The sequence below is a fragment of the Homo sapiens genome, chromosome 7 (genome assembly GCF_000001405.40).
Source record: "Homo sapiens chromosome 7, GRCh38.p14 Primary Assembly".
Taxonomy (NCBI): Eukaryota; Metazoa; Chordata; class Mammalia; order Primates; family Hominidae; genus Homo; species Homo sapiens.
In genome coordinates this window covers 31,037,901-31,050,298 of record NC_000007.14, presented here as the reverse complement: position 1 = coordinate 31,050,298, position 12,398 = coordinate 31,037,901, and the positions used below count along the sequence as shown (strand labels likewise).

The following is a 12,398-nucleotide window of genomic DNA, read 5'->3' as shown; positions in this document are numbered from 1 at the left end:
ACCTGGAGGCGGCACCTCTCTAACTGTCTTAAAGATGCCGTGTAGGCTAGCAGCCCTCGTAGATTTCGATTCTAATTCCAGCCCCCCGAGTAGCATCAGCCTGGGTGAGGCATGGAACACACATTAGAGCTGGGATCCAGGAGGGTTGTCTAGTCTCCTTCTCTATGGGTGGGGTACCTTAGCCCAGAGGGGCAACAAGACTAGCCCAAGGACACACAGGCAACTTTCTTATCAGAAATCTTATCCTGCTGCCCAACTTAGTGTTGTTCTACCTTGTGAGCTCTTCCCACCCCCTTAATTCTGGAAGCCACTCAGGCTTTCACGTCCTGCGCTGTTCTCCGCCTGTCACAGGCATGCCACTGTGGTCTCTCCAAATAATCTTGGAAGAGGAGCTATGCCAATTCTGTTCCCTGAGATTAGGCCTCCCCAGGGACAGGCCCCTCTTCTCTGCCTCCCCACCCATTCACCCAAAAAATCAACTTCACCTCCAGATCTAGCTCTGACCTTGTAAGCCAGCCAGCCTACCACTCCCACCCTACCCCTACGTGCCTGGCTTTGGGAAGACCTGAGGCCAAGGGACCACCCCTGGGAAGGGTCTTCTCTCAGAGGACCCCTTGGGCTGCCTTCTGTCTCCTAGGGAAGGAGGCTGGGGGCCCCCCTCACCAGCTTTTCCCTGCCTTGAGGTGCTCACTGCCTCACTCCCTTCCACAAGCCAGCCAGCCAGGCGGGCAGCAGCTGAAAAATATGGGTTTTAATTCAATTTTCTGAGACGTGGCTGAGGGAGATGGATGCCAGGCCACCCTACCCAGCATTCATCTTTCCTAAGCAACAGTTTCCTCCCTGACTACAGGGCTCCCACCCCAGCCCACCCCACTCTACCCCACCCCACTCCAGCTTTTACGCTGCTCAGGCAAGAACAGCACACACAAGGACCCAGGTGCTTTATTGTAGACAGCTGACATCGACCGAATGCTCACCATGTCTTGCACCAGTGCTTGTCAACCCTCCGGGCGCTACAGAATCCCCCCGGGGAGCTTTTAAAAAATACCTACACCCAGGCCTCACCACCCAAGATAATTAGACAATTGGTCCATGGTGAGGCCTGGGCAAGAGAATGTTTTACAACTCCCCAGGGGATGCTAATGTGCAGCCATGGTTAGGCACCCCTGTCGTCAGCCCTTTGCTAATACTTTGCGGGCAAGCATCCCAAGATAGCATGCTCGTATGTCCAGAACAGGTTAGAAGTGTGCTGAGTTGCTGGTCCCTCAGCCTCCTGGGCAGCCATAAGCAGCCTTTTCCACTTTCCTCAGGAGACATATAAATGTTTTCATTTTCCACAGGCACCAGGGTATGGAAAGGCTGGGAAGTAACTGCCTTTTGTGCATTGGCCCATTTAATCCCTGTTTGGGGAATGGTGTGAGCCTTGAATGCCAGACTGTGAAATAGCGTTTCTGTCTATGGGAAAGCTTCATTCAGAATGCCCTCCGGTCTGCTACATCTGCACTGGGGTCAGATGGCCAGAGAGACTCTGAGAAGCCCCAGGTGCCTCAGAGAGTGCTCCCTGGAAGGCCTGGAAGCATCAGCATCAGAATAGAGCAAGCAACAGAGAGGCCTTGGAAAGCTCAGCCCCCCTAAGCTGGGTAAGCCATGCCCATTGCCCCACTAAGGCCCTTTGTCCCTGAACGCACAGGCTCCAGAGACATTCCAGTGGCAGGGCTGAGTTCCCTGGGAGAACACCCACCCCAGAAGCAGGCCCTAGAAGGTCAAGTGCACTCCTTTCCCCTGATGTCTCATAGAGGAGCCAGGAGGTAGCATCCTCATCAGATGAACCAATGCCATCTAGAACCTTTTCAGTCACCCCATGGACCCTGGTCCCCAGGACGCTTGGAATCCTCTGAGAAACCAAGGGAATGAAGGTTAGGTTGCTTAGATCCATGATTTTCAAACTGTATTCCAAGAGCTCTAGAAATCCTTGAAGCTGCCTCACAAAAAGCCTAGAGTCAAGGAGGAAGGGATACCCATGTTAAGAGATGCCTGGGAGCTCCTCACAGATTAGGCCTGAGTCCTCTCTGTCCCCTACTGACCACAGGGCACAGCAATGGGTGAGGACACGCAAGGGGAGAAGGGCCGTTGGGAGTGGGTGCGGGTGGGGCCAGGAATCAAAGGACTTGGACTCTGAATGCTAAGTGCAGACTTGACCATTTACCACCCCCTTTCACAGATGAAGAAAATGAGGCTCAAGAAACAGAAATGATTTGTTCTGTTATGGGGCTAACTAGTGGCAGAGCTGGGCCAACACACCAGGTCTCTGGGCTTTTAGTCCTGTGCTCTATCCCCAGAAACATGACGTTAGAAGGGAAGACATGCCTCTAGGGAGCTGGAAAGTGTGGGTGTGTTGGGGGTGGGGTGGGTGGAAGAAGTAATTTCTTGAAGCCTGGAGCAATAGCAAGAGACATATGTGAAGCATTAAATGCCCTTAGTCTCTGTCCTTAGTGTACATAAATACCCAAATGCACCCTTATACCCAGATGAGCATATACTCAAATATGCATACTTATTGCTACACACGAGTACACTGTGCACACATGCACACGTGCATTTCCATTTAACATGTATGCCCAGAGGTGCATTCACATACGGTCCAAGTATGTGCATGCACTCAGTTGCGCAGGCCTGCCACACACACACACATACACGCCATCCACAGATCTGGAATAGGAAAGCACATCTTCTCCACCGAGATAGAGATGTTCCCTCTCCTGCAGACTCTCAGGCAGGCAGCAGGCCTGTCTGCAGAGGCATAGCTTCATCGCTGTCAGGCAATTCTTGTCAGAGAGTGAGTGACACTTTCCATTCACCTGCTGTAGTCTCCTCCCAGAGACACAGCTGTTTACTCATGGGAGCTGAGTACCCTCCAGGGCCCCTGGTTGAAGGAGAATGAAATATTTCCATTCTCGCTTCCAAATCTCTATTCACAGGACTTCCTTTTCTTATCTCTACCTGCATCCTCTCCTCCATCTTCTGCACACCCTGGCATTTGTGCATAATATTCGTTGGCTACAGAAGGGACCCTGATGAGTATCCTACAAATAGGCCATATCATGTGTGTTCAGGAGCCACATTGCACATGCCCTGCCGTCTGCACATTTGCTGTCCTCAGTGGTCTGGGTCTAGATACTCTTGGGGTGAACACCGTACCCCCTCTGCCTGTCCCCCCTTGCAGGTGCTGCAGTCAAAGCTAGGTCCCTCCTGCTGTTCCTATAGCTTCCTGGAGCCTGGCTTGACTGCTTTGAAAATAACAGTGTGCTCCAGCTCCACACAAGTCCTGGCTTTAACGCAGGGCCACGGCAAGCATGGAGGTGTGGAAATTACAGATAATTTGTGTGGGAGGAAGCAGCCTGCATGAGGCAGGGATACAGCCTTTCCCAGAAAAGCAGCTCAGGATAATATGGGGCCTGTGACAGCCTGAGCCCTGACTCGGTGTCATGCAAATGATGCCGATAATTATATTAAAAGTAGGGCCAACAGAACAATCTTTGATGACCAACTTTGGGAACAGGTTGGCAGCTGATGAAACAATATTTTGCCATGGGTGATGGGAGGACTGTCTGTGAGAAATTCATTGAGGCACCCAGGGCTTTAGTCCCAAATCAGGGGCTGGGAAGGTTAGTGTGAGCCGGCAGGATGGGGCTGGCCCAAGGCCTTGCATACATTCAAGGGCCCTATAACAAGTTACAGCAAACAGTGGCTTAAACAAGCACACATTGTTTATCCCACCATTCCCATGGGTCAGAGTCTCCTGCTCAAAGTCTTATAATGCTACAGTCAAAGTGAGCCAGGCCTGGGGTCTCATCTGAGGATTAGGGTCCCCTCCCAAGGTTGTTAGCAGAATTCTGTTCCTTGTGGTTGTAGGACTCAGGCCCTGAGCTTCTAGAGGTCACCCACCATTTGCCGCCTCATAGTTTTCTCCACTCATGGCAGTGTGGTTTGTCAAGGCCACAGGAGAGAGACCCCACTGCTTCTCCATCCTGGATTTCTAGGCCCTCTTCTTTTTTTTTTTCTTTTATTATACTTTAAGTTCTAGGATACATGTGCACAATGTGCAGGTTTGTTACATAGATATACATGTGCCATGTTGGTTTGCTGCATCCATCAACTCCTCATTTACATTAGGTATTTCTCCTAATGCTATCCCTCCCCCAGCCCCCCACCTCCTGACAGGCCCCAGTGTGTGATGCTCCCCGCCCTGTGTCCATGTGTTCTCATTGTTCAATTCCCACCTATGAGTGAGAACATATGGTGTTTGGTTTTCTGTCCTTGTGATAGTTTGCTTAGAATGATGATTTCCAGCTTCATCCATGTCCCTGCAAAGGACATGAACTCATCCTTTTGTATGGTTGATAGTATTCCACGATGTATATGTGCCACATTTTCTTAATCCAGTCTATCACTGATGGACATTTGGGTTGGTTCCAAGTCTTTGCTATTGTGAATAGTGCCACAATAAACACATGTGTGCATGTATCTTTATAGCAGCATGATTTATAATCCTTTGGGTATATACCCAGCAATGGGATTGCTGGGTCAAATGGTATTTCTAGTTCTAGATCCTTGAGGAATCGCCACATTGTCTTCCACAATGGTTGAACTAATTTACACTCCCACCAGCAGTGTAAAAGCTTTCTCTAGGCCCTCTTCTAACGGGCTCATGTAATTAGCTCAAGTCCTCTTAGGATCATCTCTCTTTAGATAAACTTGAAGACAACTCATTAGAGTTTTTAATAACATCCACAGAATCCCTTCCCCTCTGCCGCATAACTGGCCTGATCAGGAGATCAAAACCCCATCTTATCTATAGGTCCTGCCCACAGTCAAGAGGAAGGACTTGTACGGGCTTGTATTCTAGGGGGCAGGAACCTTGGGGACCTTAGAAGCCAGTCTACTACGGTCCCCCCATTCTAGCCTGGAATGTGACAGCTGGGGGCAACCCATTGACCAAGCTCCCTGAGGAGCTCCCTGGAATGTGAGAGCCCATGTCAGTCTTATTCCACCTCCAGGGCTGGGCATAAAGTCAGTGCTCAGGAAATATTTATTGATTGAGTAAGTGAGTAACCCATCCCTACCTCCATAGTACCTTGATGGGGAAACTGAGGCCCAGAGAAGGGAAAGAACTGTTTTAAGTCATTCAAAGCAACAGATGACAAAACAAAACAGTAATAAGCACTACAATTTACTGAGGCCCCATGCTCGGCTATCTTGCTAGCTTGCCTCCCTAGATTGTTGTAAAGCTGTGATTAGGAATTATGATTATCCCAGGTTTACAGATAAAGAAACCAAGTCTTGGAGAGGTGAAACAACTCATCCAAAGATGCTTCTAGCTCTCTCTGTCTCGGCTCCACCCTGATGTCCCAGATGCTCCCTTTTCTATGTGCCATTGTCTGTGTCTGCAAGCAGGACAGACTGAGTGCAGGGTCAGGAGACCAGGCATGCAGGGAGGGCCAGGGGCTCCTGGACGTATCCTCCCTCTCATGCCTCTGCCCAGTCCCGCTTCCTTCCCGGGGGAATTAAGTCCTCATTCTGTTTCACACTGGGACAGGGCCACCCACGGGGGAGAGAGGTGTTTCTAATTACTCATAATTAGCCAGCCTGATTAGTCCTGTCATGAGGGATTGTCTCTTCCAGCTTTTTCTTTTGTGTTCTGAGAACACTTCTCTGTTAAGGAGGGGATCCATCTGCAGTGGCCAGGGAGGAGAGGACACACAGGAATTTGACTGGAGCCAGCAAAGGGGTCTTTGTATGCCCACACCAATAAGCATCTCTCTGAGCCTTCCCCTCCCACCAGGTGCCCCTGGAAAACCTTCCTCCAGCCCCCCAGCACAGAGAACACTAGTCCACCTTATTGGAAGAAGGAACCTGGCTCAATCCCTGAGGGACACGTCTGCCCCACCTCCCTTCCCCAGATATCCATATCCGTCACCCCCTCACCTTCTTTAAGTATCTGTTTGAAGGTCCTTACCCGCCCTATGTAAGCTACACCCTCCATCACTTTCCACCCCTAACCCTGCCCAGTGGTTGCCCATAGGTTTTGGAGCTAGATTATTGGGTTCAAATCCTGGCTTTGCCATTTGGACAAGTTATTTAACCTGCTGTGCTTCAGTTCCTTCATCTATTCAGTGGGATTGAACCATCGCATCTACCTTTTAATGTTAGTGTAAGATTTAAATAAGTGAATGCATGTAAAGCATTTAGAACAGTACCTAGCACAGAATAAGTACAATATAGTATCAATTATTCATTTTTAGCTCTTTTTCTTCATAGATCTGACATGTAGCATACTGTCTGTCAGTTTGTTTCAGATCTGTCTCCCCTAGGTGAATGCGAGCTGCTTGAGGGCAGGGTCCTTCTTTGCTCAATGCTCTGTCCCCTGTGCTTAGAGTTGCTTAGAGCAGCTTAGAGCAGCTAATAGTGTTTGTTGAGTTGGTGAATGAATCCCACCTTCCCTGTCTCCAGATAGCAGGTTCATTCTTCTCTTCACCCTCAGAAACTGCAATTTAAAGACAACAAAAATGCATCTTCCATGTCCCCATCATCTCTTAACCCCTCTCACCCTGATTTATGGCCACAGACTCCGTTTCTGGAATCATAGACTCCCCTGAAATACAATAACTCAATTCTAGAATACAATTAAATGGTCTGAGGCCCATGTCGCAAAGTCCTGGAATTCTAGAATTCATGGAGTCCTAGAGTGGACTCCAGGACTTGAGAATTCCAGAATGAAACTCTGCAATCTTCAAATGTAATCTGAGGATTGCTGGTAGTAGGACCTAGGAATCTTGGAAAGGAAGCCCAGAATTTCAGAAGACAGGCTTGTAATCGGATCACTGGGAGAATCTGGTGAAACCAGCTGGCTTCCTTTCACTGGCTTTTTTTGCAGTGATAAAAAGGCAAGTGGTGCTTGTGTGTGCTCAGAGCCGAGGGGCAGGGTGAGGGGCCAGGATGGCGGTGGGAAAAGAGCTCCCCTGTGAGTGTTGCTAGGCACCGGCACCAGGGAAGGAGAGGACAATGGGGCTGGCCTGGCCGGGGTAGGTAGAGCCGAGGGCTGAATCCTGATCAGAATGCTGGGGGAGGAAGGGAGGGAGGGCTTCGGGGCGGCATGCAGGGAGGCGGGCATAGCCAGCCCTAATCCCATTACAGCTGCTCATCCAGCTGCCAGGGCTGGCAGGCATCAGGCCTTGGCTATGCCCTCCCCTCCTCCAATTGTGGGCTCAGGCAGCAGAGGGCTTTGGATTCAAAAGTTTATCCACCTTGTTCTGAAGTCCCTACCCCAGAGCAGGAGTGTGGCTGTGCCTTGAGCCCGGGCAAACTTAGGGCTAAAAGTAGGGTGGTGATAAGCAGGGGCTGGAGGGTGGAGGAATCCCTCAAGGATAGATAAAATGGGCGTACTTTGTAAGAAATTTTGGACATATGACAGAAGTTCAACTAATGACCTTGACACTAGTTCTACCCAAAGAACTAACTCAACCCCAGCCAGAGCTTCGGCCCAGGTCAGACATTCAACCCTGACTCCATCTCAGTTTGGCCTCTAATCCCAGCCTCAGAACAAGTTCCTGCTCTGGTCACAGACTGATCTTTAACCCTAACTCAAGGCAGAGTACTCATCCCAACTACAGATTCCTCCAAAAATGATGCTTAGATGAGCCCACAGATCACTGAAAACAGGATTCATCTTAAAAAGTTCAAAAGACCAGTGGACTTCCTTAAACTGGTCAAATGGAGCCCCCTAAACATGCTGGCTTATGGAAACCTACAGCTGCAAAAACTTGAGCTGCAGTCCTTGTCAAAGCCCACAGCAAGCTGACTCATCCCCTTCCTGATGGAGGAGAGTCTTCTGCTCCAGGAACAGTTCCGCTCCAAACCCTGAGTTCTTCCCAATATGGGAAAGAGTATCTGGAAGGAGGTTGGTGGACCAGGCAGTTAATTTGACCCAGAGTCAAGACACAGGGAACAGTGTCTTGGGGATGGAATTGGCAAAGTTGGAGGTGATGCTGATTGTGGTGGTGGGTGAGTGATCCTGGAGGTGGCCCTGGTGGTGTTGGAGGTGGAGATGCAGACTTTGATGATGTTAACAAATGGAGATGGAGCTACAGATGAATATTCCTAAACCCAGCAGTAGCCACATACCCATGTCGGTCTTTCAACTTTTCTTTTCTCTCATTGTTTTTCCTTCATGAGTCTGGAAATTTTTAGGAGGAATTTTGTAACAATCGAAATAACAAATCTGAGTCTGCGTGTTCCCTTTTTCTCCTTTTAGCATCTCCAAGGTGGAGGAAGAGTTACCTTCTTCCCGCCAGTATGGCTGCACAGCAGAGCCGGAGGCTTCCCCCTTAGACACTTGGTCTGACACACCTGCTCACTCCCAGAAGTTCAAGGGAGTTCTCTCTGGGAAGGAAGGATGGACCCTCTCGGAGCTCCAATCCTCTGCTCCTTCCTGATGCTTCTGCCACCTGACCCCATGTTCACTTCTCAAGGAGGGCAGCACGGCAGGTGTGTTAATCAGGACACTTCTTTATTGGTAGGCTGCCCTTTGCCACACAAACCATTTAGCATCCTACATGGTTAGCATTCTAGACCTTGGTCCTAAATGCTAATGTCATTGCCCAGTCACTGTGACATTCAAAACACCCCCACACATTGCCCACCCTTTACCCCTTTGAGAACTATCTTGAGAGATTGTCCATGAAAGACTTGCAAAGAGAGTGGCCTCAAACCTGTTTAGCCAACATTATCCCACACCCCCACCCCTACATGCAGGTAATAGAAGGTGAGGACTTTAGAAAGTGAAAACCTCTGAGGATACATTTCTTGGGGACATCCAAGCAAGGCAGGTAGGAAGGGAATCTTCCTGTCACCTCAATCAAGTAAAAGGAGCTTGAAAGACTCTTTGGAGATCTTGGAAAGTTTCCCCTGAAATTGGGTGACTCAGGGATGGGCAGCTGACTGCACAGTGACACATCCCAGAGTGAGGTGTAGGAAGAACAATGGACAGTTTGGGGGATAAGGTGCTAGAAGAAGCGCAGTGTGAAAAGCAGTTGGAAGGTGAGCAGGACCAGATTATGGCCGTGAATGCCAGGCCAAGGGATTGAATTTATTCTTGGAGGATACAAAGCCAGGGAAGAGCTTAGAGCAAGGAATGTTAAGCAGGATAGCTTGGGCTGCAGGATGGAGGATGTATTGGAGACGGGGAGATCAACTGGGAACCTACTGAAACAGTCCAGAGGGCAGATGGTGAAAGGCTGAGCAGTGGCCACAGATAGAAAAGGACAGGGCTGGATCTGAGAAGAGAATAAGATAAATGAATGGGAACCATTTTTGAAAACTCCAAGGGCAGGACCCATAAGAATAATTTTTGTTATTGTTTTTAATCATATTTTTAAAAAAGAAGAAAAATAGGGAAAATCTCTAGAGAATAAATACCTTGAGCCATTATTAGTCATTAACATTTTAGCACAAATTCAATGATTCATCCACACAGCAATTAAAAATTAGCGCAGTCAGGGCACTAAAGAATGGACACTAGGTGGGGTGAGGAAAAAGGAAAATGTACCACCAGGAAAATGAAAGATCTAGGTGGGAATAAATCAGGACACCTAGATTTGGAGTTGCTGATACAGACAGAAGCAATAAGAAGGCGTGTCAGACAGACAGCTCTAGGCTGGAAGTCTAGAGAACTGAGTTCACTTATATGTCCCCCTTCCACAACCTACCAGCCAGCCTTAGGATTCTGGTAAGTCACTTAACTTCTCAGAGTCTCCATTTTCTCATTTATAACTCAGGGATGATACTATCTATCTCACAGGGTCAAGTTCTGTAAAGGACCTGTTAAACTGCGAAGCTCTGTGAATTCCACCAGATGGCTGAAAGTCATCCTTGGAAATTGTTCCCCATTACCATTCACTGACTTGCAGCCAGGCCATCAGCTACCTGTCTCCTTAAAATTAGTTTAGTCTCTTCCAAGGAAAGCTTGATTAGTCTTAACATGTACAAGATGGGAAGGACAAAAGAAAGCAAGTGAGAATTCGTGCAGCTAAACATCACATTTACCAGAAACCCCTTTGTGGACCTCAGTTTCCCTGTCTGTCCAAGGGGAGTGACAATGCCTATCCCCATTATTTACAGAGAATCCAAGGAGATAGCCCCATTCCTGTAAACATTTTTTTTTTGGAGGGGTGGGATGGAGTCTTGCTCTGTCACCCACGCTGGAGTGCAGTGGCGCAATCTCGGCTGACTACAAGCTCTGCTTCCTGGGTTCATGCCATTCTCCTGCCTCAGCCTTCCAAGTAACTGGGACTACAGGCACCCACTACCACACCTGGCTAATTTTTTGTATTTTTAGTAGAGATGGGGTTTCACCGTGTTAGCCAGGATGGTCTCGATCTCCTGACCTCGTGATCCACCTGCCTCAGCCTCCCAAAGTGCTGGGACTACAGGCGTGAGCCACCGCGCCTGGCCACCTCTAAACTTTTTTAAGCAAAGGGACTATAGTCTTTCTTTTCATTTCTTGCCACTCACTAGCTGTGATCTTGTTTTTAATTTTTTATTGCCTCAGTTTTCCCAGCTGTAAAATGTGAAGAATAATGGCACATAGGGTTGCTGTGAAGATTAAGTGTGTTTAAATGTTATAATGCCTAGGATGGTATTTGGTGTGAATCTACCTTATAAACAGTAGCTATTACTACTGCCACTACTCTGCCACTACCACAGCCATCATCACCCATCCCACAGGCCTGGTATTCAGTGGACATTCCATGAGTGTTTGCTGAGCTAGACTGCTCATGGATTTGAACTTGTGGTGGGAAGTGTGCAATGTTACACAGGAGGGGGAGCACAGATCCAGTCCTCCTGTGCTCACTGTGCTTGCTACTCAGAACCTTGGCTTCCTTGACCATCTGAAGGGCTCAGAACAGGACCTTTCAAGATTAGAATTCAGTAAGAATTAGAGTAGCTCCCAGTTCCCAGATTCCTTCCATCTAATGTCAGACACATGCCAAGACCTTCTGAATGGCTGCCCTCTTAGCAGCCTTGACCCTTGATAACCTGGGTCCAGATCAAGAATCCAATGTCAGCTGGTTGAAATAGGACATCTCCCCAGAGGTCCAGAGCCATGTCCAGCACCTGTTGACCCCAGTGGCTTCACAGACACATCCAGCTCGGTCTTTGCAACACTGGACACAGGATCTGCACCCGCCGTGTTCCACCTCCACAGATGGTACCACATTCATCTCCTGGGTAAACTGGAAACCTGGGAGTCATTCTTCATACTTCTCCAGCCCTCATGATTCACCTGAGCAACGAGCATTTAGCACAGGCTTCCTGTGGGCCAGGCACAGTGCCAACCACTGAGGTCGCAATGGTCCCTGCCCTCCTGAAGCTTATAGTCAGATGCAGTACACAGAATTGAAACAATAATCACACAAATAATGTAAAACAACCTGTGATAGTGAAATAAAGAATAGAATGCCATAAACCTATGTAACAAGACATCCTGATCTTACCCAAGGGTCAGGGAGGCTTCCCAAAGAAATAGTCAGTTTATCTCAGATCTGAAGAACAAGTAAAGGGAGCTGGGAGTTGGGTGGGCACAGAGAGGGTGGGGATACTGCAGAAGAGTAAGAAACAAGAGCAAGCTGTGAGTAGAGAGGGAGGCACCAAGCACTCAACCCACTGGACTCAGACCAGCATGGCTGGAGGACAGAGAGCAAGGGAGAGAGGTTGGATTTGAGGCCGGAGGGCCAGGTCAGGCCCAGGGCCCATCAAGGCCTGGGGCTTTACCTCAGACTAGTGGGAAGCTGCTGAACACATGAGGAAGCCTCATTTGCATTTTAAAAATATCACCCAGGATGCAGGGGAAAAATCGGATTGAAGGATGCAGGGAAATCAATAAGGAAGCTTGTTGCAGTAGGTGAGGCAAAAGACTATGGTTTTGACTAATGGAATGGTGGGAGAGGTAGAGAGAGATGGAGGAACTGGAGACCACCTTAGGAGATAAAGCCAGCAGGACTACAGTTCCCAGATTCCCTTGCAGCCAGGTGTGAGTCGTGACTAAATTCAGGGCAGTGGGGTGTGAGCAGGAGTGATAGGAACAACATCTAGTTTGTGCCTCTGAAGGGAGGGGTATGGCCTCCACTTTCCCTTTTCTCTCCCCACTGGCTGGAATGGCGACGCGATGGTGGGAACTAGGGCAACAATCTTGGGCAAAGAGGAGGAAGCTGCTTTGTAAGGAGAGCAAAGCCATGTGACTTAGCAGGAGCCCCCCACGCCCACCCAACCCCACCGCTGCCCAAACCCGTGATTACGGAACTGGCATACCAGCCCTGAATTGCCTACTCACATTTTTATGT

General features: G+C 48.9%; 2 annotated features.

Annotated features, from left to right (window-relative positions):
• Window positions 6,617–7,117: an enhancer, noted in NCBI's record as "H3K4me1 hESC enhancer chr7:31082797-31083297 (GRCh37/hg19 assembly coordinates)". NCBI's record gives its function as "activates a minimal SCP1, AML or CMV promoter by ChIP-STARR-seq in primed H9 embryonic stem cells {active_cell/tissue: H9 hESC(primed)}" and the evidence as "EXISTENCE:reporter gene assay evidence [ECO:0000049][PMID:30033119]".
• Window positions 7,118–7,618: an enhancer, noted in NCBI's record as "H3K4me1 hESC enhancer chr7:31082296-31082796 (GRCh37/hg19 assembly coordinates)". NCBI's record gives its function as "activates a minimal SCP1, AML or CMV promoter by ChIP-STARR-seq in primed H9 embryonic stem cells {active_cell/tissue: H9 hESC(primed)}" and the evidence as "EXISTENCE:reporter gene assay evidence [ECO:0000049][PMID:30033119]".